This window comes from Homo sapiens, chromosome X (genome assembly GCF_000001405.40).
Source record: "Homo sapiens chromosome X, GRCh38.p14 Primary Assembly".
Classification (NCBI taxonomy): domain Eukaryota; kingdom Metazoa; phylum Chordata; class Mammalia; order Primates; family Hominidae; genus Homo; species Homo sapiens.
Window position 1 is genome coordinate 154,255,097 of NC_000023.11, and position 16,064 is coordinate 154,271,160.

Sequence of the window (16,064 nt, forward strand, 5' to 3'; positions counted from 1 at the left end):
AGAAAAAAATAGGTCACATTCAAAGAATCAGAAGTCAGAATGGCTTCAGACTTCAGCAACAGCATGGGGAACTAGAAGCCAATGAAGTGCTGCCCGGGCACGGTGGCTCACACCTGTAATCTCAGCACTCTGGGAAGCCCAGGCAGGCGGATCACTTGAAGTCAAGAGTTTGAGACCAGGCTGGCCAACATGAGGAAACTCTGTCTCTACTAAAAATACAAAAATTAGCCAGCATTGTGGTGGGCGCCTGTAATCCCAGCTACTCGGGAGGCTGAGGCAAGAGAATCGCTTGAACCCAAGAGGTTGCAGTGAGCCGAGGATCACTCCCCTGTACTCCAGCCTGGGGCGACAGAGCAAGACTCTGTCCCAAAAAAAAAAAAAAAAAAAAAAAAAAAAAGACAATGAAGTGCTGCTTTCGAAATTCTGAGGGAAAAATGATTTCCCAGCCTAAAATTCTACACCCCAACTGTCAACTGTGGGGTTAGACTAAAGACATTTTTAGACATGAAGGAGTTCAGTACACCACTGACAAATGTAAGAATTCAACAACTGTTTAAAAAGCAAGTCTTGCCAGGGCAGTGGTGTGCACCTGTGGTCCCAGCTACTCAGGATGCTGAGGCAGGAGGATTACTTGTGCCCAGCAAGTAGAGGCTGCAGTGACCTGTGACTGTGCTACTGCCCTCCAACCTGGGTGACAGAGTGAGACCTTGTCTCAAAAAAAAAAGAGCGGGGGGTGGGGGGGCCGGGCGTGGTGGCTCACAGCTGTAATCCCAGCACTTTGGGAAGCCAAGGCGGGTGGATCACTTGAGGTCAGGAGTTTGAGACCATCATGGTCAACACTGCGAAACACTGTCCCTACTAAAAATACAAAAATTAGCCGGGCATGGTGGCACACACCTGTAATCCCAGCTACTGGGGAGGCTGAGGCAGGAGAATTGCTTGAGCCGGGGAGACGGAGGTTGCAGTGAGCCGAGACTGCGCCACTGCACTCCAGCCTGACTGACAAGAGTGAGATTGTCTCAAAAAAAAAAAAAAAAGTAATCACTAGAAAAGAAGCTACATATGTACATAACATCCAAATAACCAAGAGGAGAAAAAAATGGGACTTGATTAATCAAAACAAAAACAAAAAAGAAAGAAAGAAAGGGGGAGAAAAAAAAAAAAACAAGGGCTGGGTGTGCTGGCTCATGCCTGTAATCCCAGCACTTTGGAAGCCAAGGTGGGTGGATCTCTTGAGCCCAGGAGGTCAAGACCAGCCTGGGCAACATGGCGAAACCCCGTCTCTATTAAAAAAAAATTAATACAACAATTATCCTGGAGTGGTGGTGCACACCTGTAGTCCCAGCTACCCAGGACGCTGAGACGGGAGGATCGCTTGATCCCGGGGATGTCGAGGCTGCCGTGATCGCACCACTGCCCTCCAGCCAGGGTGGCAGACTGAGACCCCATCTCAAAAAATAAATAAATAAAAGCAAACAAGAAAAAAAAAGGCTTGAAACATATCTGATAGATAAAGGGCTAATCAACACAATATATAAAGAACTGCAAATCAGTAAACTAAGAGCAAATAACCCAATATAAAGACATTAAAGGGTAGCCACGGACATCTCAGACGACTAAAAACAAAAGACAGTAACGTATAATAAAACATGTAATTGCAAGGTGATCCGGGAATAGTAAGCGAAAAGCAACAATTAAATACTATTTTCTCATCCACCAGAACGCCAAAAATTAAAAAGCCTAACAATGTCCAGGGCTGGCGAGAATGTGGCAGAAGGTGATGTCACATACCCTGCAAGTGGGAATCTAAACAGATTCAGGGTTTTGTTTTTTTTTAATCGCAATTAGGTGGCCTGTTAAATTTTTTTTCTTGAGACAGAGTTTTGCTCTTGTTGCCCAGGCTGGAGTGCAATGGCTCGATCTTGGCTCACCGCAACCTCGACCTCCCAGGTACAAGCGATTCTCCTGTCTCAGCCTCCCAAGTAGCTGGGAGTACAGGTATTTGCCACTAAGCCCAGCTAATTGTTTTTTATTTAGTAGAAACGGGGTTTCACCATGTTAGTCAGGCTGGTCGGGAACTCCTGACCTCAGGAGATCTACCCGCCTTGGCCTCCCAAAGTGCTGGGATTACAGGCGTGTGCCACTGTGCCCAGCCACTTTTTTTTAGACAGAGTCTTGGTCTGTTGCCCAGGCTAGAGTTCAGTGGCGCCATCTCAGCTCACTGCAACCTCCGCCTCCCAGATTCAAGCGATTCTCCTGCCTCGACCTCCCAGTAGCTGGGATTACAGGTTTCCAGCAAATCCCTCTGAGCCGCCCCCGGGGGCTCGCCTCAGGAGCAAGGAAGCAAGGGGTGGGAGGAGGAGGTCTAAGTCCCAGGCCCAATTAAGAGATCAGATGGTGTAGGATTTGGGAGCTTTTAAGGTGAAGAGGCCCGGGCTGATCCCACTGGCCGGTATAAAGCACCGTGACCCTCAGGTGACGCACCAGGGCCGGCTGCCGTCGGGGACAGGGCTTTCCATAGCCATGGCCCAGCAGTGGAGCCTCCAAAGGCTCGCAGGCCGCCATCCGCAGGACAGCTATGAGGACAGCACCCAGTCCAGCATCTTCACCTACACCAACAGCAACTCCACCAGAGGTGAGCCAGCAGGCCCGTGGAGGCTGGGTGGCTGCACTGGGGGCCACCGGCCACCCACCTGCCCCGCCCAAGGGAATCTCTCTTCTGCACGTCCCCACCAGCAGAGAAGGCTTTCTCCCATAGCTTTTCTGATGACATGAATTGGGGGGTCCTCTCCAAATCTAGAAGGACACCATAATATCGAATATGCATTCTCAAGCCACACAGGCTTCCCAGCCCCTTTGAGAATCCGAGGCCGGGGAAGAGTTTATGTGCTCTTTCTTTGTGGCCCGTAGATGAGTGTGTTCACTGCTAGCGAATGACCTCTCATTCCACGGAGTCCCTCAGCTTCCTGGGGAAGAGCTGGGTCTGTCTTTACATTTGAAGCCGAAAGGAGGCAACATACTGACACACCCAAGGGAGGCGGGAGGGTGGGGAAGACAGCAGCAGAGGGCAAGAAACTTCTAGAACTTCAGGGTCGGCAAAGCCTGTAGCAGTCATTTTGTCAAACTCCATGATGGGGCCACTTGGCTTTTGGCTGCACACCTCTGGGGGAAGAGGCTGCATTGGCGCCCAGGGCCATCTTTCCATTCGGAGCCGTCCTGGGAGAGAGGGCTCAGGCCCAACAGAAAGCTGAAAGCTCTCATCAGGGCAGCCCGAGTCCTGCCATTGGGAGTTGCCCAATCCGAAAGTTTTGCACGCAGGCCCTCAAAGAAGCTGAGGACACCAGTGACCGCCCCACTCCTGGCCCTCTCCCCAGGTCCCTCCTCCAAACCAAATTCCTTTGGTGCCTTCAAGAACATCGTGCAGGCCGGGCACAGTGGCTCACGCCTGTAATCCCAGCACTTTGGGAGGCAGAGGCGGGCAGATGACGAGGTCAACAGATAGAGATCATCCTGGCCAACATACTGAAACCTCATGTCTACTAAAAATGCAAAAATTAGCTGGGCTTGGTGGCGCATGCCTGTAGTCCCAGCTACTCAGGAGGCTGAGGCAGGAGAATCGCTTGAACCCGGGAGGTGGAGGTTGCAGTGAGCCGAGATCACGCCACTATGCTCCAGCCTGGCCACAGAGTGAGACTCTTGTCTCAAAACAAAACAAAACAAAAAACAACAACATCGTGCAGGCTGTGGTTTCCAGAAGCCACGCCAGCTCCTTGATTGCCAATAAACATCCCGCTGTGGGGTGGCCAGGACCGAGTGCCAATTAGTGACAGAGTGCCCAGACCAAACCGGATGAGGATCTTGCAGTTGACCTCAACATGACTGTGCCCAGAATTTCCTTGGTGGCAATGTCAACAGTCTCTTCCTAGATGCCCCCAGACTTCATCAATGCATGATGCTTCAGTGCACTCTTTTCAAATGTCGGGGTGGGTTTTTTTTTTTTTCCACAAAACTTCAAGCATCTACTAAAGTAGAGGGAGGAGTGTAATGAACTCCGGTACCCATCACTCAGCTTCCACGGTTTCATCTCATTTCATCTGTGACCCCTCCACTACCCTTTCTTCCTGATTCTTGGAAGCAAATCCAAGACATCACACCCTTCCCTCTGTAAATCTTTACTATGTTCCTCTAGGAGAAAAGGGCTCTTCTCAATACATAACCACAAGTCATCATCACACCGACAAGTGTAACAATATTTCCTGAATAGCTTCAAATATCCTAGTAGTGTTCAAAAAATGTCATACGTATTTTCAGTCTGCTTGAATCAGGGCTCAAATAAGGTCCACACATTCAGATTGACTGATATGCCTTTTGACTACCTTTGAATCTAGAGGTTCCCTTTCTATCTCCCTGCAATTTATTTGTGGAAGCAAGCAAGTCGTTCATGACGTAGCCTAACAGGCCCCTCTGACGTTGTTCATTATGATTTTTCTGTAAATTGGTAGTTGATCTGAGGATCTGGCCAGAGGCAGGTTGGATTTGTTGGTGTGTTTTGGCAAGGAGAGTGTCTCTTTTCTGGGGTGTTGGCAGCTACTGAAACTCAATGCCCAGACCAATTAAACCACTGGGGATGGAAAATGACGGCATTCGGACACCTTACCCTGCCTTCACCTATTGGTGACCAAAACCTTAACATCTTCACAGGTCTTCTTACCCTGAGGGTATATGCCACTAGGTTGTGTAGTAAACCGGTGTGTTTCCAGTCCCTTAGAATAGTCCCTCTCTAAGTGATATGCCACTCAGTGGATATGCATTTAGCTTCATTTCTTTTGTTGCTGATTTTCAGAGATTGCTCTGTAAATTTAAACTTTTATTTTACTTTATTTTATTTTTTCGAGACAGTCTTACTCTGTCGCCCAGGCTGGAGTGCAGTGGCGCGATCTCAGCTCACTGCAACTTCCGCCTCCTCGGTTCGAGCGATTCTCCTGCCTCAGCCTCCCGAGGAGCTGGGACTACAGGTGCCCGCCACCACGCCCAGCTAATTTTTTTTATTTTTAGTAGAGACAGGGTTTCACCATGTTGGCCAGGCTGGTCTCCAACTGCTGACCTCAAGTCGTCCGCCCACCTCGGCTTCCCAAAGTGCTGGGATTACAGGTGTGAGCCACCGCCCCCGGCCACTTAAATTTTGTTTTATAATTATGTAATAAAACAGTTAAAAGTCTCAAATTAAAATCTAGAAAAGAAGGTGTATTTGAAGAAGTCTGGCTTCTCTGCGCCACCACCGACCGCCCCTTCCCTACCTGCCTGTATTTCCTCGAATCACTTTGCCTGGGAGCTGACTTTGATTCTCTTGCTCATTGCTTCATGAAATTCAGTTCCAGAACTTTCAGGAGGGAGGGGTAGGCCATGACACCAGCTCTAGTTACACTGGTGGCAGCTCCTGTCCCCTCCCCCACTGCTGCTGGGACCTGTTCTCTCCTTTGCCCCCTTGTCCCTGCACTGCCCAATTTGGACCGCAAGGGTTGCCAGGGAAGGGCACTGGCTGCCTTGTTTTCAGAGGTCGTAGCACCTAGATTGCTCCAGCCCCTTGCACTTGCCTGCAGGCCAGAGTGTCCCAAACCCTCCCAGTCTCAGCTGCTCTTCCCCAGTTCACCCAAGGTACTTCCCAGGGAAGAGCTGCCGACAGTTTGGGGGTTCTCTGTTCTTAGGTCCATCAGCAACCCCATTGCTCCCCTCTGCTTCCTTCTGCACGGAGACTGACGCCATGCAGGTCTTCAATTGTCAATGGTCTGTCCCTGCTGCTCATACTGGGGGTTCCTGGGGAGCCAGTGCCAGGTATCGGGATTGCAGACATTGTCTGTGGGTTTCCAGAAGCTCCTTGTGTTAGGAACATATGGGGCCCGTGCACAGAGGGCAGCAGAGGCCTTGTGGGATCCAGCTGTGCTAGGGGTGAGATTTATCTGTCTCTCCTGGCCATAGCCAGGAAATCCCCATTTTTCTTAAGCTAGCTTGAGTTGGGCTTTTCTAACACACAGCTAAAGAATCTCTTGATAAACCTTGGGACTCTCCATGAGGCCTTATATGGCAGCAGGTCTGTGGCTTGCAATCCCTTCAAGTAATCTGCCAAAAACAATGTTATGACGAAGGTCCTTCCAACACAAAAGGTGTAGAGCCCTAGCAAACTCCTACAGAAGAAAAAGGAGAAATAATTCGTTTGTAGTCCCAGCTACTTGGGAGGCCAAGGTGGGAGGATCACTTGAAGTCAGGAGTTCGAGACCAGCCTAGGCAACATAGCCAGACCCCATCTCTACAGAAATAAAAAAAATTGCCATTGTGGTAATGCACGGCTTGTAGTCCCAGGTACTCGAGAGGCTGAGGCAGGAGGATCGCTTGAGCCCAGGAGGATCGCTTGAGCCCAGGAGTTCCACGTTGCAGTGAGCTATGATTGTGCCACTATACTCCAGCCTGGGTGACAGAGCAAGACTTTGTCCCAAAAAAAAAAAAAAAAGAAAAGAAAGAAAGGAAAAGAATAAAAGAGAAATTACCATAGATTGGGTGGCTTTTAAATGATAAATGTATTTCTCACAGCTCTGGAGGCTGGAAGTCAGGGTGCTAGCGTGGTGGGCTCTGGCGAGGACCCTCTTCCTGACTGCAGATTGCCAACAACTCATTGTATCCTCACATGGAAGAAAGAGAGCTAGAGAGCACTCTAGGGACTCTTTTTCTTGTTTGTTTTAATTAAAAAAAAATTTTTTTTACATGGGCATGCCATGTTGCCCAGGTTGGATTTGAACTCCTGGGCTCAAGCAACCCTCCAGCCTCAGCCTCCCAAAGTGCTGGGATTACAGGCATGAGCCACCATTCCCAGCTAATTTGGGCTGTTCCCAAAGGCTCAAGTGATCCTCCCACGTTGGCCTCCTGAGTAGCTGGGGCTACAGGCGTGAGCCACCATGCCCAGCTTCTAGGACCTCTTTTATAAGGGCACTAATCCCATTCATGAGGGCCCCACTCACTCTGCACACATGACCTAAATGACCTGCCAAAGGCCCCACCTCCTAATACCATCACCTTGGGGGTTGGGATTTCAACACAGAAATTTATGGGGGGCACGTACATTCAGATCATCATGAACAGTAACTCCTATGTGTGACAGAAGGTGACAGAGGTGGGTAGTGGTCTTCCCCTCAAGGGGGTGAGTTGCCACTAGCTGGGGAATCTTCTGGAAGGCAAATGCATATGAGCTGGGCTTTACAGGAGGCAAGCGTTTCTCTATGGAAGGGCAGAGGACTGTGGGAGGTAGGAGGTGGGGCTGGGGCAAAGGGAAGAGGGGAGCAGGGAAGTGGGGTGACTGCACACTGGGAGTGGGGAATCAGATGGAGGAGACGATGAGGAGTTCTGTTAAGTTCAAGATGCCAGTGCCAGTGACCAGCGGGCGATGGTCTCTGGCTTGAGGGACAGGATGGAGGGGAGACTGTCTGAGGATGGACAAAGCTGGAGGGAAACAGCCAATTGCAAAGGCAGGAGGGCGGAAGGGGGAGGGGAGAGGTGGGATCAGCACTGGTATAGACAGGCGGTGCTGCAGCCCAGCTCCTCTCTCTCCTCTGCCTCCTGCCCTCAGGCCCCTTCGAAGGCCCGAATTACCACATCGCTCCCAGATGGGTGTACCACCTCACCAGTGTCTGGATGATCTTTGTGGTCATTGCATCCGTCTTCACAAATGGGCTTGTGCTGGCGGCCACCATGAAGTTCAAGAAGCTGCGCCACCCGCTGAACTGGATCCTGGTGAACCTGGCGGTCGCTGACCTGGCAGAGACCGTCATCGCCAGCACTATCAGCGTTGTGAACCAGGTCTATGGCTACTTCGTGCTGGGCCACCCTATGTGTGTCCTGGAGGGCTACACCGTCTCCCTGTGTGGTAAGCCAGTCGGGGCCCAGGCTCAGCGGAAACCACTCATTCACCCTGCAAGCCCCTCCGGCCACCTCATGATGATCGGGGCCCAGCTGCTCCTGTAGGCCTGTCTCCCTCCACATCTGCGCCTCACATCCATATACTGAAGGGTTCTGGAGGCTTCCATCTGAACACTCACATTAAATTCAGCTCCCTTGAGTCAAACATACCCTGAGTTCCTACTCTTGAGTCAGGCTCTGCCCGGGGACAGCCAGTTTGGAGCTGTGGGGCTGGTGTGGGAGGAGACAGATACAGAGCTAGACAACCCCAGAACAGTAGGGGGGCGGGGACTCTGGGCACCCTGGACAGAACTCCCCTGCAATTAGGGATGCCTGCTCTTTCAGCTCGCCAGCATCTGCTTTTCCCGGAGGAGACACAATTCCCAGATCCTCTCCCCATCCCCATCACTAATATCTCTGTGGGCCACTATTCCGCTCAGGTCAGGAGACAGTGGCCGAGAGGTACTAGCGTGCCAGGCTCTGTGCTAAGGAGGGGGCCCTATAGCCAGACGGCAACCACACAGTACCATCATCAGTCCTCTCAGACAAGAAGGGGCCTGGGGCAGGTGGTGGAGGAGCGGCTGGGAGCAGTTTGTGGTTCGAGTGGATAGAGTACCACCAAGCAGCCGTGGCTGCTGGACACGAGGTGGGCAGGCCCAGGTCTCAGAGGCCTCAGACGTCATGCCCAGGAGCTGGGACTTTCTTTCAGGAGGAGGAGACCCCACATCCAGCAGCAGCAGCTCCTGCTCTTGCCTCCCCACCACTCTTAGCAGCCTCCCCAACCCCACCCCGTTAACTGCCTCAAATTGTACCCACGATGGCCCAGACCAGAGAGGGTGCTTGTCCAAGTCCCGGCACTACCCCGATAGTGTAGAAGGGGAGCCAAGGGAAGGTCAGGCAGAGAAGGTCCATCCCCAGGTCCGAGTGCTCTCTGCAGCAGGCATGGCCTCGGTGGTCACACGACCCTTCCCGAGTGCCCCCCTGCATCTCCGCCCACGTCTGTCTCCGTTTCTGCCATGGTCTCCCGCTCACCCTTGCCTCTGCTCATGGTCTGTTCTTGGGTCAGTCAGGTGCCAAGCAGCCAGCACTTCCCCACCACTTTTGGTCCACGGATGCCCTTGGCCATCTGGGAAGCCTGTGGACCCCATCTCAGGAGAATTTTTGCAAACGCATAAAATGAGACCCATAGGATTACAAAGGCAGCAAATTATACTGAAATACAGTTATCAAAGTATTAAACATTCATCAGTAACATAGTCTTTAGTTAAAAGCATTTACTGGCCAGGCTCATACCTGTAATCCCAGCACTTTGGGAGGCTGAGGTGGGAGGACTGCTTGCCTCCAAGAGTTTGAGACCAGCCTGGGCAACATAGTGAGACCTCTTCTCTACAACAAATAAAAACAGCTGGGCGTGGTGGCACACCAGTAGTCCCAGCTACTCAGGAGGCTCAGGCGGGAGGATCGCTTGAGCTCTGGAGGTCAAGGCTGCAGTGAGCTATGATGGCACCACTGCACTCAGCCTGGGCAACAGAGTGAGATTCTGTCTCAAAAAGTAAATAAAAATAAAAGCATGTGTTAAACGTATTAGTGACACCACTCAGTATTAAGGTATTAAGTAACAGGATCCCGCCTGACAACCACTGTTATTTCAGAGTAGTGATGAACATAAGTGGTATTCGAACTCTCTGCCACCTCTATGAATTGACAGGAAAACATCTGTGACCTCTCTTGCTGACCGAGTCACGGGTACTGCTAATACTGCCACGTTCATAATGGAAGGAAATTTCCAGTGTCTGTTCGAGGTTGGTGGAAAGAAAGATGTCGTTTTTTCCACCTCAGTCCGTGGAGCCCTGAATTCTGTGTGCAGACGTTTGGGGTCTAAGCAGGACAGTGGGAAGCTTTGCTTCCCACCTTTGCTTTGGCTCAAAGCCCTCATCTGTCTGCTCTCCCCATAGGGATCACAGGTCTCTGGTCTCTGGCCATCATTTCCTGGGAGAGATGGATGGTGGTCTGCAAGCCCTTTGGCAATGTGAGATTTGATGCCAAGCTGGCCATCGTGGGCATTGCCTTCTCCTGGATCTGGGCTGCTGTGTGGACAGCCCCGCCCATCTTTGGTTGGAGCAGGTAAGGGTGCGAGGACGCAAGATGGAGTGGGCAGGGTCAGACTCTGTGACCTTAAGGCAAATCACTTCCTTTCTCTGGGCCCCTCTGAGCGTGCAATGTCTATCAATGTATGAATGTGGCTGCAACATAGGAAAGGCTCTGTGGTCCCCGAACCTCTGGAAACATATTTATCCCAAGCACGATCAGGTCACAGGCGCACACGGAGCTCAGGCCATCAGCACAGCTGTCAGTGAACGCATAGCGTGTTTGCATTCCAGGTCTCTTTCTTGCACACGCTGCCGCACCACGCCCCCCACCTTTCAGAGGCTGCTTGGGTCATAGATCCACCTGGGCCTACAGAGCACATGTCCTGGCCAGGCCAAGCAAGTGGCTCAAATGTTTGATTGGAGTGGACTGGGTGGGACAGCATTTCACTGTTTTATCGACAAGCTCGTGAATAAGTTCTCGTGGTGTTTGGAGAGGGAATGTTCTTTCCTCGAGAACGTTCCACAATTCTAGGAAACAAACCTTGTGGAAGCCTGTCTCTGTCTCCCGCCCTCCTCATGCCGCCATGCCCCACACAGCTGCCCGTTATCAAACATGTGTGGTGAGCTGACCCTGGTGGAGGCTCTCCCGCGGGTTATCTCATTTAATCCTCCAGGCCACTAAGTGAGCAGGGCCCTTTATTTCAGTCATGGCCTAGCTGACCTCAGATAAAAGACTCAGCTCTTCATGGGTGTTCTCAGAAGGTCAGGGCAAGAAGGAACCTCACAATCCCTTTGTAAAGAAGGGGAGTGATTGGGAAGATGAAAATGTCCTGGAAGCAGATAGTGGAGATGGTTGCACAGCATTGTGAATGTACCAAAGGTCACAATGGTACTTTTTTCTTTTTTTGAGACAGGGTCTCACTCTGTCACTCAGGCTGGCACAGTGCAGTGGTGTAATTATGGCTCACTGCAGCCTCCACCTCCTGGGCTCAAGTGATCCTCCTACCTCAGCCTCCTGAGGAGCTGGGCCTACAGGTGCACCACTTCACCCAGCTAATTTTTTTTATTTTTTGTAGAGACAAGATCTCACTATGTGATCCAGGCTAGTCTTGAACTCCTGGGCTCGAGCAATCCTCCTACCTCTGCCTCCAAATGTGCTGGGACTATAGGCGTGAGCCATTGTGCCTGGCCTATAATGGTACATTTTATGTGATGTGTATTTTACCACAATTCAAAAAGAAGAAAGGCATGACATCTAAAAATGGACAAGGATTAACCAAAATCCTACCCAACGGTTTTGTTTTGGGTTGATGAAAATGTTCTGGAAGCAGAGGTGGTGACTGCCACAGAATTGATCACTTCAAATTGGGTAATCTCATGCAACATGAATTTCACCTCAATTTAAAAAAACAAACCCCACCCGAGTTAGCACCGTGCCTGGGCCGGGGGTCCTGGGTCACCCCACCCTGCATCAGGACTGGCTGCCGGCCCTTCTCTCCAGGTACTGGCCCCACGGCCTGAAGACTTCATGCGGCCCAGACGTGTTCAGCGGCAGCTCGTACCCCGGGGTGCAGTCTTACATGATTGTCCTCATGGTCACCTGCTGCATCACCCCACTCAGCATCATCGTGCTCTGCTACCTCCAAGTGTGGCTGGCCATCCGAGCGGTAAGCCCCCCGATTCCTCCTGGCCTCACCCGCCTCCTGCCCCTAAGCTGCTCTGCCCTCAAATGAGTCCACTGAGACTCCTAAACTATTTTTCCAAAAATCCTTAGAGAAGAGGATTTTACCCCTATAAGAAAATATTAAGATCCAGCGATGAGAATCAGGTGATTCCTTTGGGACTGTACCAGTGGCTGCAGGTTCAGCCCCAGCCCCGTTGTCCTCAGCTCTGTGAGACGGGAAAGCACTGCCACTCCCTCCCTGGAGGAGTCCACTAAGGGAACAGAGGTGTGCCTTGCCCCGACCCTGGACAGTTCTCCCCGGGGTGGAAAGGCTGCCTTTCCCACAGAGTAGAGTGGAGCAGCCACATCAGCAAATGACACCTGCAAATCAAGGCGTGTTTTTATGAGGCTGCCACCGGAGTACCCTTGTCCTTTTCATAGGCTGTGGGGCCGACCAAGGAGTGGACCCGAGAGTGCCATTTGCCCCCCTGACCCACTCTCCACCTCCATGTCTGGCCCTCTGCCCTGGGAAGCTGATCCTGTCCACAGCCGTCACCCCCCACCCCTAGACTAGGCTACCACTGGGAGCCCTTCAGGAAGTCAGAGCAAGGGAGGAGAGCCAGGCTGGTTCTTTTCTGTTAGCAGTGGGAGCCCTTTCAGGGTGCTGGCTTTCCTATATGAAGCTGCCTGTGCCCACAATTGGATGGGCATGCCTGCCAAGCTCTCTCTAGAGGAGTCTGTGAGCCTGTGAAAGGCCCCCTCACCCCGTCACCTTGGGGTGAAGGCTCCCACAGGTACCCAACCATGGCTTCGGCTGTATTAGTCTGGGATGGTAGAGCCCCAGCTCCACAATGTGGCCCCGGCTCTGCTGTCTCAGCCATCCCTGCATTCCAGCCCTCACACTCCCTCTCTCATCCCCACTCATCTGCCTGCCGCCAGTCCCTCATCCCTGGCAGGTGGTGGCTGGCCTCTGGCCTCCCCCACAGTGCCTCTGCCTGGAGGCCATTCGTCTCCTTCCTCCCAGCAGGCATGAAGGAGCCACCCCACCAAAGCTGCCCTCAGCTGCCTCACCGTGAGTCCAGGGCAGGATTTAGTCCACAGAGTGGCCAACCTAGCCTAGGAAGCCTGAGGGAAGTGTATGCATTGCTCTGACACTCCCATCGCGCACCCCGCCAGCCACTGCTTTTGCCTCCCCCGCCATCTCCACCTTGTTAACTCCTTCATTCTCCACGCCCAGTCATCAATCAAATCAGGCCTCCATGCTCAGGCCTGAGCGCAGGACAGGACAGTCTGTTAAGGGATCAGGTGAAGCAAAGGAGCTTGTTAGATCCAGCTCTGGGGTCATCTTAGGCCACACCTAGCTGCATGCCACCTCCAATTCTAGAACTCCCCCAGGGCCAGCCTGAGGCAGCCATGTCTGCCTGGGGCCGGCTGTGCTCCACTCAGGGCTGGAAGATGGCTGCTGGGCTCCTCTCCTCCTCCCCACAACTCCCTATGCCTGGGTCACCTGCCTCTTGCTGCCCTCCAACCCCCGACTCACTATCCCTGTCTCCCTTAGGTGGCAAAGCAGCAGAAAGAGTCTGAATCCACCCAGAAGGCAGAGAAGGAAGTGACGCGCATGGTGGTGGTGATGGTCCTGGCATTCTGCTTCTGCTGGGGACCCTACGCCTTCTTCGCATGCTTTGCTGCTGCCAACCCTGGCTACCCCTTCCACCCTTTGATGGCTGCCCTGCCGGCCTTCTTTGCCAAAAGTGCCACTATCTACAACCCCGTTATCTATGTCTTTATGAACCGGCAGGTAAGCAACACCATCAGCAGATCCCACTCAAAATACCGTGTGCCCTAGAAGGGTGCAGCGATGGCCCCACCTGGAATCATGTCTCTGATAAGAAGCCCGCGGAGCATCTGGGGGACCCTCCAGGGAAATGACCGGGAAAGGCTCAGCGTGTGACCCAGCCCCAGCCAGAGCTCCGGCTGGCCCTTAGCAGAAGGCTTAGGTGTGCCCTCTGGAATCCTTTATAGTCTCGGCCTGAGGGTGGCATTTCCCAAAGCGTCTGTGTGCCGTGCGCTCTTCCCTTCCGGTGGCCCTAGAACTATGGCTGCCGAGCTTCAGGGGCTCTCCTGGCGTTCAGACGCTCTAGGAGTTGGTGAGCCCTAGGTACATCCACCCTAGGTGTGCCCCTCTTCTGTTCAGACTCGACCCTTCTCAACCTTCATCTCTCCATTTTCAAACCGTAACCTCTGGAATTTGTCTTCCTATAAGAACAAAAGCCGGCCCTCCTTGGCTACACTGACCAAGAGTTCAAGAGCTTTCACGAGTTTGTGGGTTAGTTCAGGGGGGACGTGCTGTGGTCCTGCCCAGAGGCAGCCTCCTTAGCTGGCATATTGGGCCTCAGCAGCAAGCTGCTCACACACCTAAATCCCCCCACCTCCTGCAGGTTACAGGCTTCATTAAAGCGCAGCTGTGATGTGACTTGATGGTGGCCAGAAAGGTGTGCAGAGGCCTCCCATTTCACCAGGCCCAGTCCATCCCTTCCACTGGGCTCTTCCTTGCTTCTCCATCTTAGAGCCACTCAATGGCTCCAGCCCCTTTGGCTCAGCTTTGACTCACACAAGCCAAGTCTGCAGAGTTCATTAAGGGTTCATTCTCTCTGGTAACTTTTAAATAGTAAGTAGGACCAGGCCTGCAGTGGATTTCCGGGAACTCGCTGTAGCACACTGATGCCCAGAGTGTAGTTCTATCCCTGACCCCTGTTTCCTGACTTTCATGAGGATCTTTTTTAGGTTTCTGGAATCCTAAACTATCTTGCCAAGTACTGTCTTTACTGGATTATTTCCATTCTCCTTTCCAGAACTCCCCCTGGACAGGGGGAGACAGATGTCTGCACTTCTGGACCTCACCAGGCCTCGAACTTTGCTTTTACCCTTTCCACATAATTATCCTGTCCTGCCACATTCTGAGAGAATTTTCTGGAACGCAGTTCCATGAAGACAGCAAATTTTGCTCAGGACAGAGTCTGGCACACAGTGGGTGCTCAAGCAGCAGCTGCTGAATGGATTCCTCAGCCCTATCTCCCAGCTCTTCAGCCGAGCTGATTCTGCTGTTTGTCCCGTTTCTTATGTTATTAATTTCAACCATTATATTTTTTATTTTTGAGAGTTTTGATGATAGAGGGAGTTAGAGCTAGTCAAGAGTAGGCCTGAAATATTTAGAAAATGCCTTTGGTCTGGGTCCTCAAAGCATTGTGGTTACTTCAGGGATGACACAGGACATGATTTGAGACATTCATATGGCCCAGATCTCTTTGGGGTGAAGCAGCAAAGACAGACCCCTCCTGGTACCGGAAGACGCTTGGCTGGAGAGATGAGGTAGGGGCTAGATTGTCATTACCTAGGCCTCACCTTGCCCCAGATCCATGGACTGGAAAAAACATGACAACCACATGCCTTTTCATTAATATTCCTCCGAGCCGCTCACCAGACAGTCTGGGGACAGGTCACCACTGCCCCTTAGCTGTCACTGTGGATGAGTGTCATGGGGCTGCCGTCACAAACTACCACAAACTCAGTGGCTTCAAACCACAGAAATGGATTCTCTCAGGGTTCTGGAAATCTTGAGTCTGAAATCAGGGTGTTGGCAAATGGAAAGGTTCCCTATGGAGGCCGGGAGGGAGAAGCAGCTGCAGGGCTGCCGGCAGTCTTTGGCGTTCCTTGACTCCAAGGTGTGTCACCCCAGTCTCTGCCTTCATCTTCACGTGGCCTTCTTCCCTCTGTCTGCGTGTCCGTGTCCAAGCGTTCCTTTTCTTATCAGGACACCAGTCATTCGATTAGGGCCCACCCTGCTCCAGTGTGACCTCATCTTAACCTGAACACATCTTTTGGGGGACCCACTTCAACCCAGTGTAGTCACCATCAACTGCTAAGTCAGATGACATCCCCGCGTGTGAGGGAGAAATAATCCAAGCCTTCCTCCATCCCCCATGGGATTCGGAATGGGTGAAGGGAAGGCTCGGGCACGTACATTCAGCACAGTGCTCCACCCTTCCCTGCTCTGCTCAATAACGCTTTCTGTCCTTCCAGTTTCGAAACTGCATCTTGCAGCTTTTCGGGAAGAAGGTTGACGATGGCTCTGAACTCTCCAGCGCCTCCAAAACGGAGGTCTCATCTGTGTCCTCGGTATCGCCTGCATGAGGTCTGCCTCCTACCCATCCCGCCCACCGGGGCTTTGGCCACCTCTCCTTTCCCCCTCCTTCTCCATCCCTGTAAAATAAATGTAATTTATCTTTGCCAAAACCAACAAAGTCACAGAGGCTTTCACTGCAGTGTGGGACCACCTGAGCCTCTGCGTGTGCAGGCACTGGGTCTCG

At 52.2% G+C, this 16,064-nt stretch overlaps 1 protein-coding gene across 1 annotated transcript; it reads left to right on the forward strand.

The window, feature by feature from the left end:
- Positions 2,486-15,994, forward strand: OPN1MW3 (opsin 1, medium wave sensitive 3). The gene is made up of 6 exons (NM_001330067.2): positions 2,486-2,635; positions 7,616-7,912; positions 9,900-10,068; positions 11,536-11,701; positions 13,256-13,495; positions 15,778-15,994. The coding sequence occupies exons 1-6, from the start codon at positions 2,524-2,526 to the stop codon at positions 15,886-15,888; spliced, it is 1,095 nt and encodes a 364-aa protein (NP_001316996.1). The 5' UTR covers positions 2,486-2,523; the 3' UTR covers positions 15,889-15,994.
- The last annotated feature ends 70 nt before the right edge of the window (positions 15,995-16,064 follow it).

Bases quoted from the DNA above. Each gene is read 5' to 3' on its own strand.
- OPN1MW3 (NM_001330067.2), top strand. From the start codon at position 2,524: ATGGCCCAGCAGTGGAGCCTCCAAAGGCTCGCAGGCCGCCATCCGCAG. The intron at 10,069-11,535 runs GTAAGGGTGCGA...CCTTCTCTCCAG, and splicing joins CCCATCTTTGGTTGGAGCAG to GTACTGGCCCCACGGCCTGA. The intron at 13,496-15,777 runs GTAAGCAACACC...CTGTCCTTCCAG, and splicing joins ATGTCTTTATGAACCGGCAG to TTTCGAAACTGCATCTTGCA.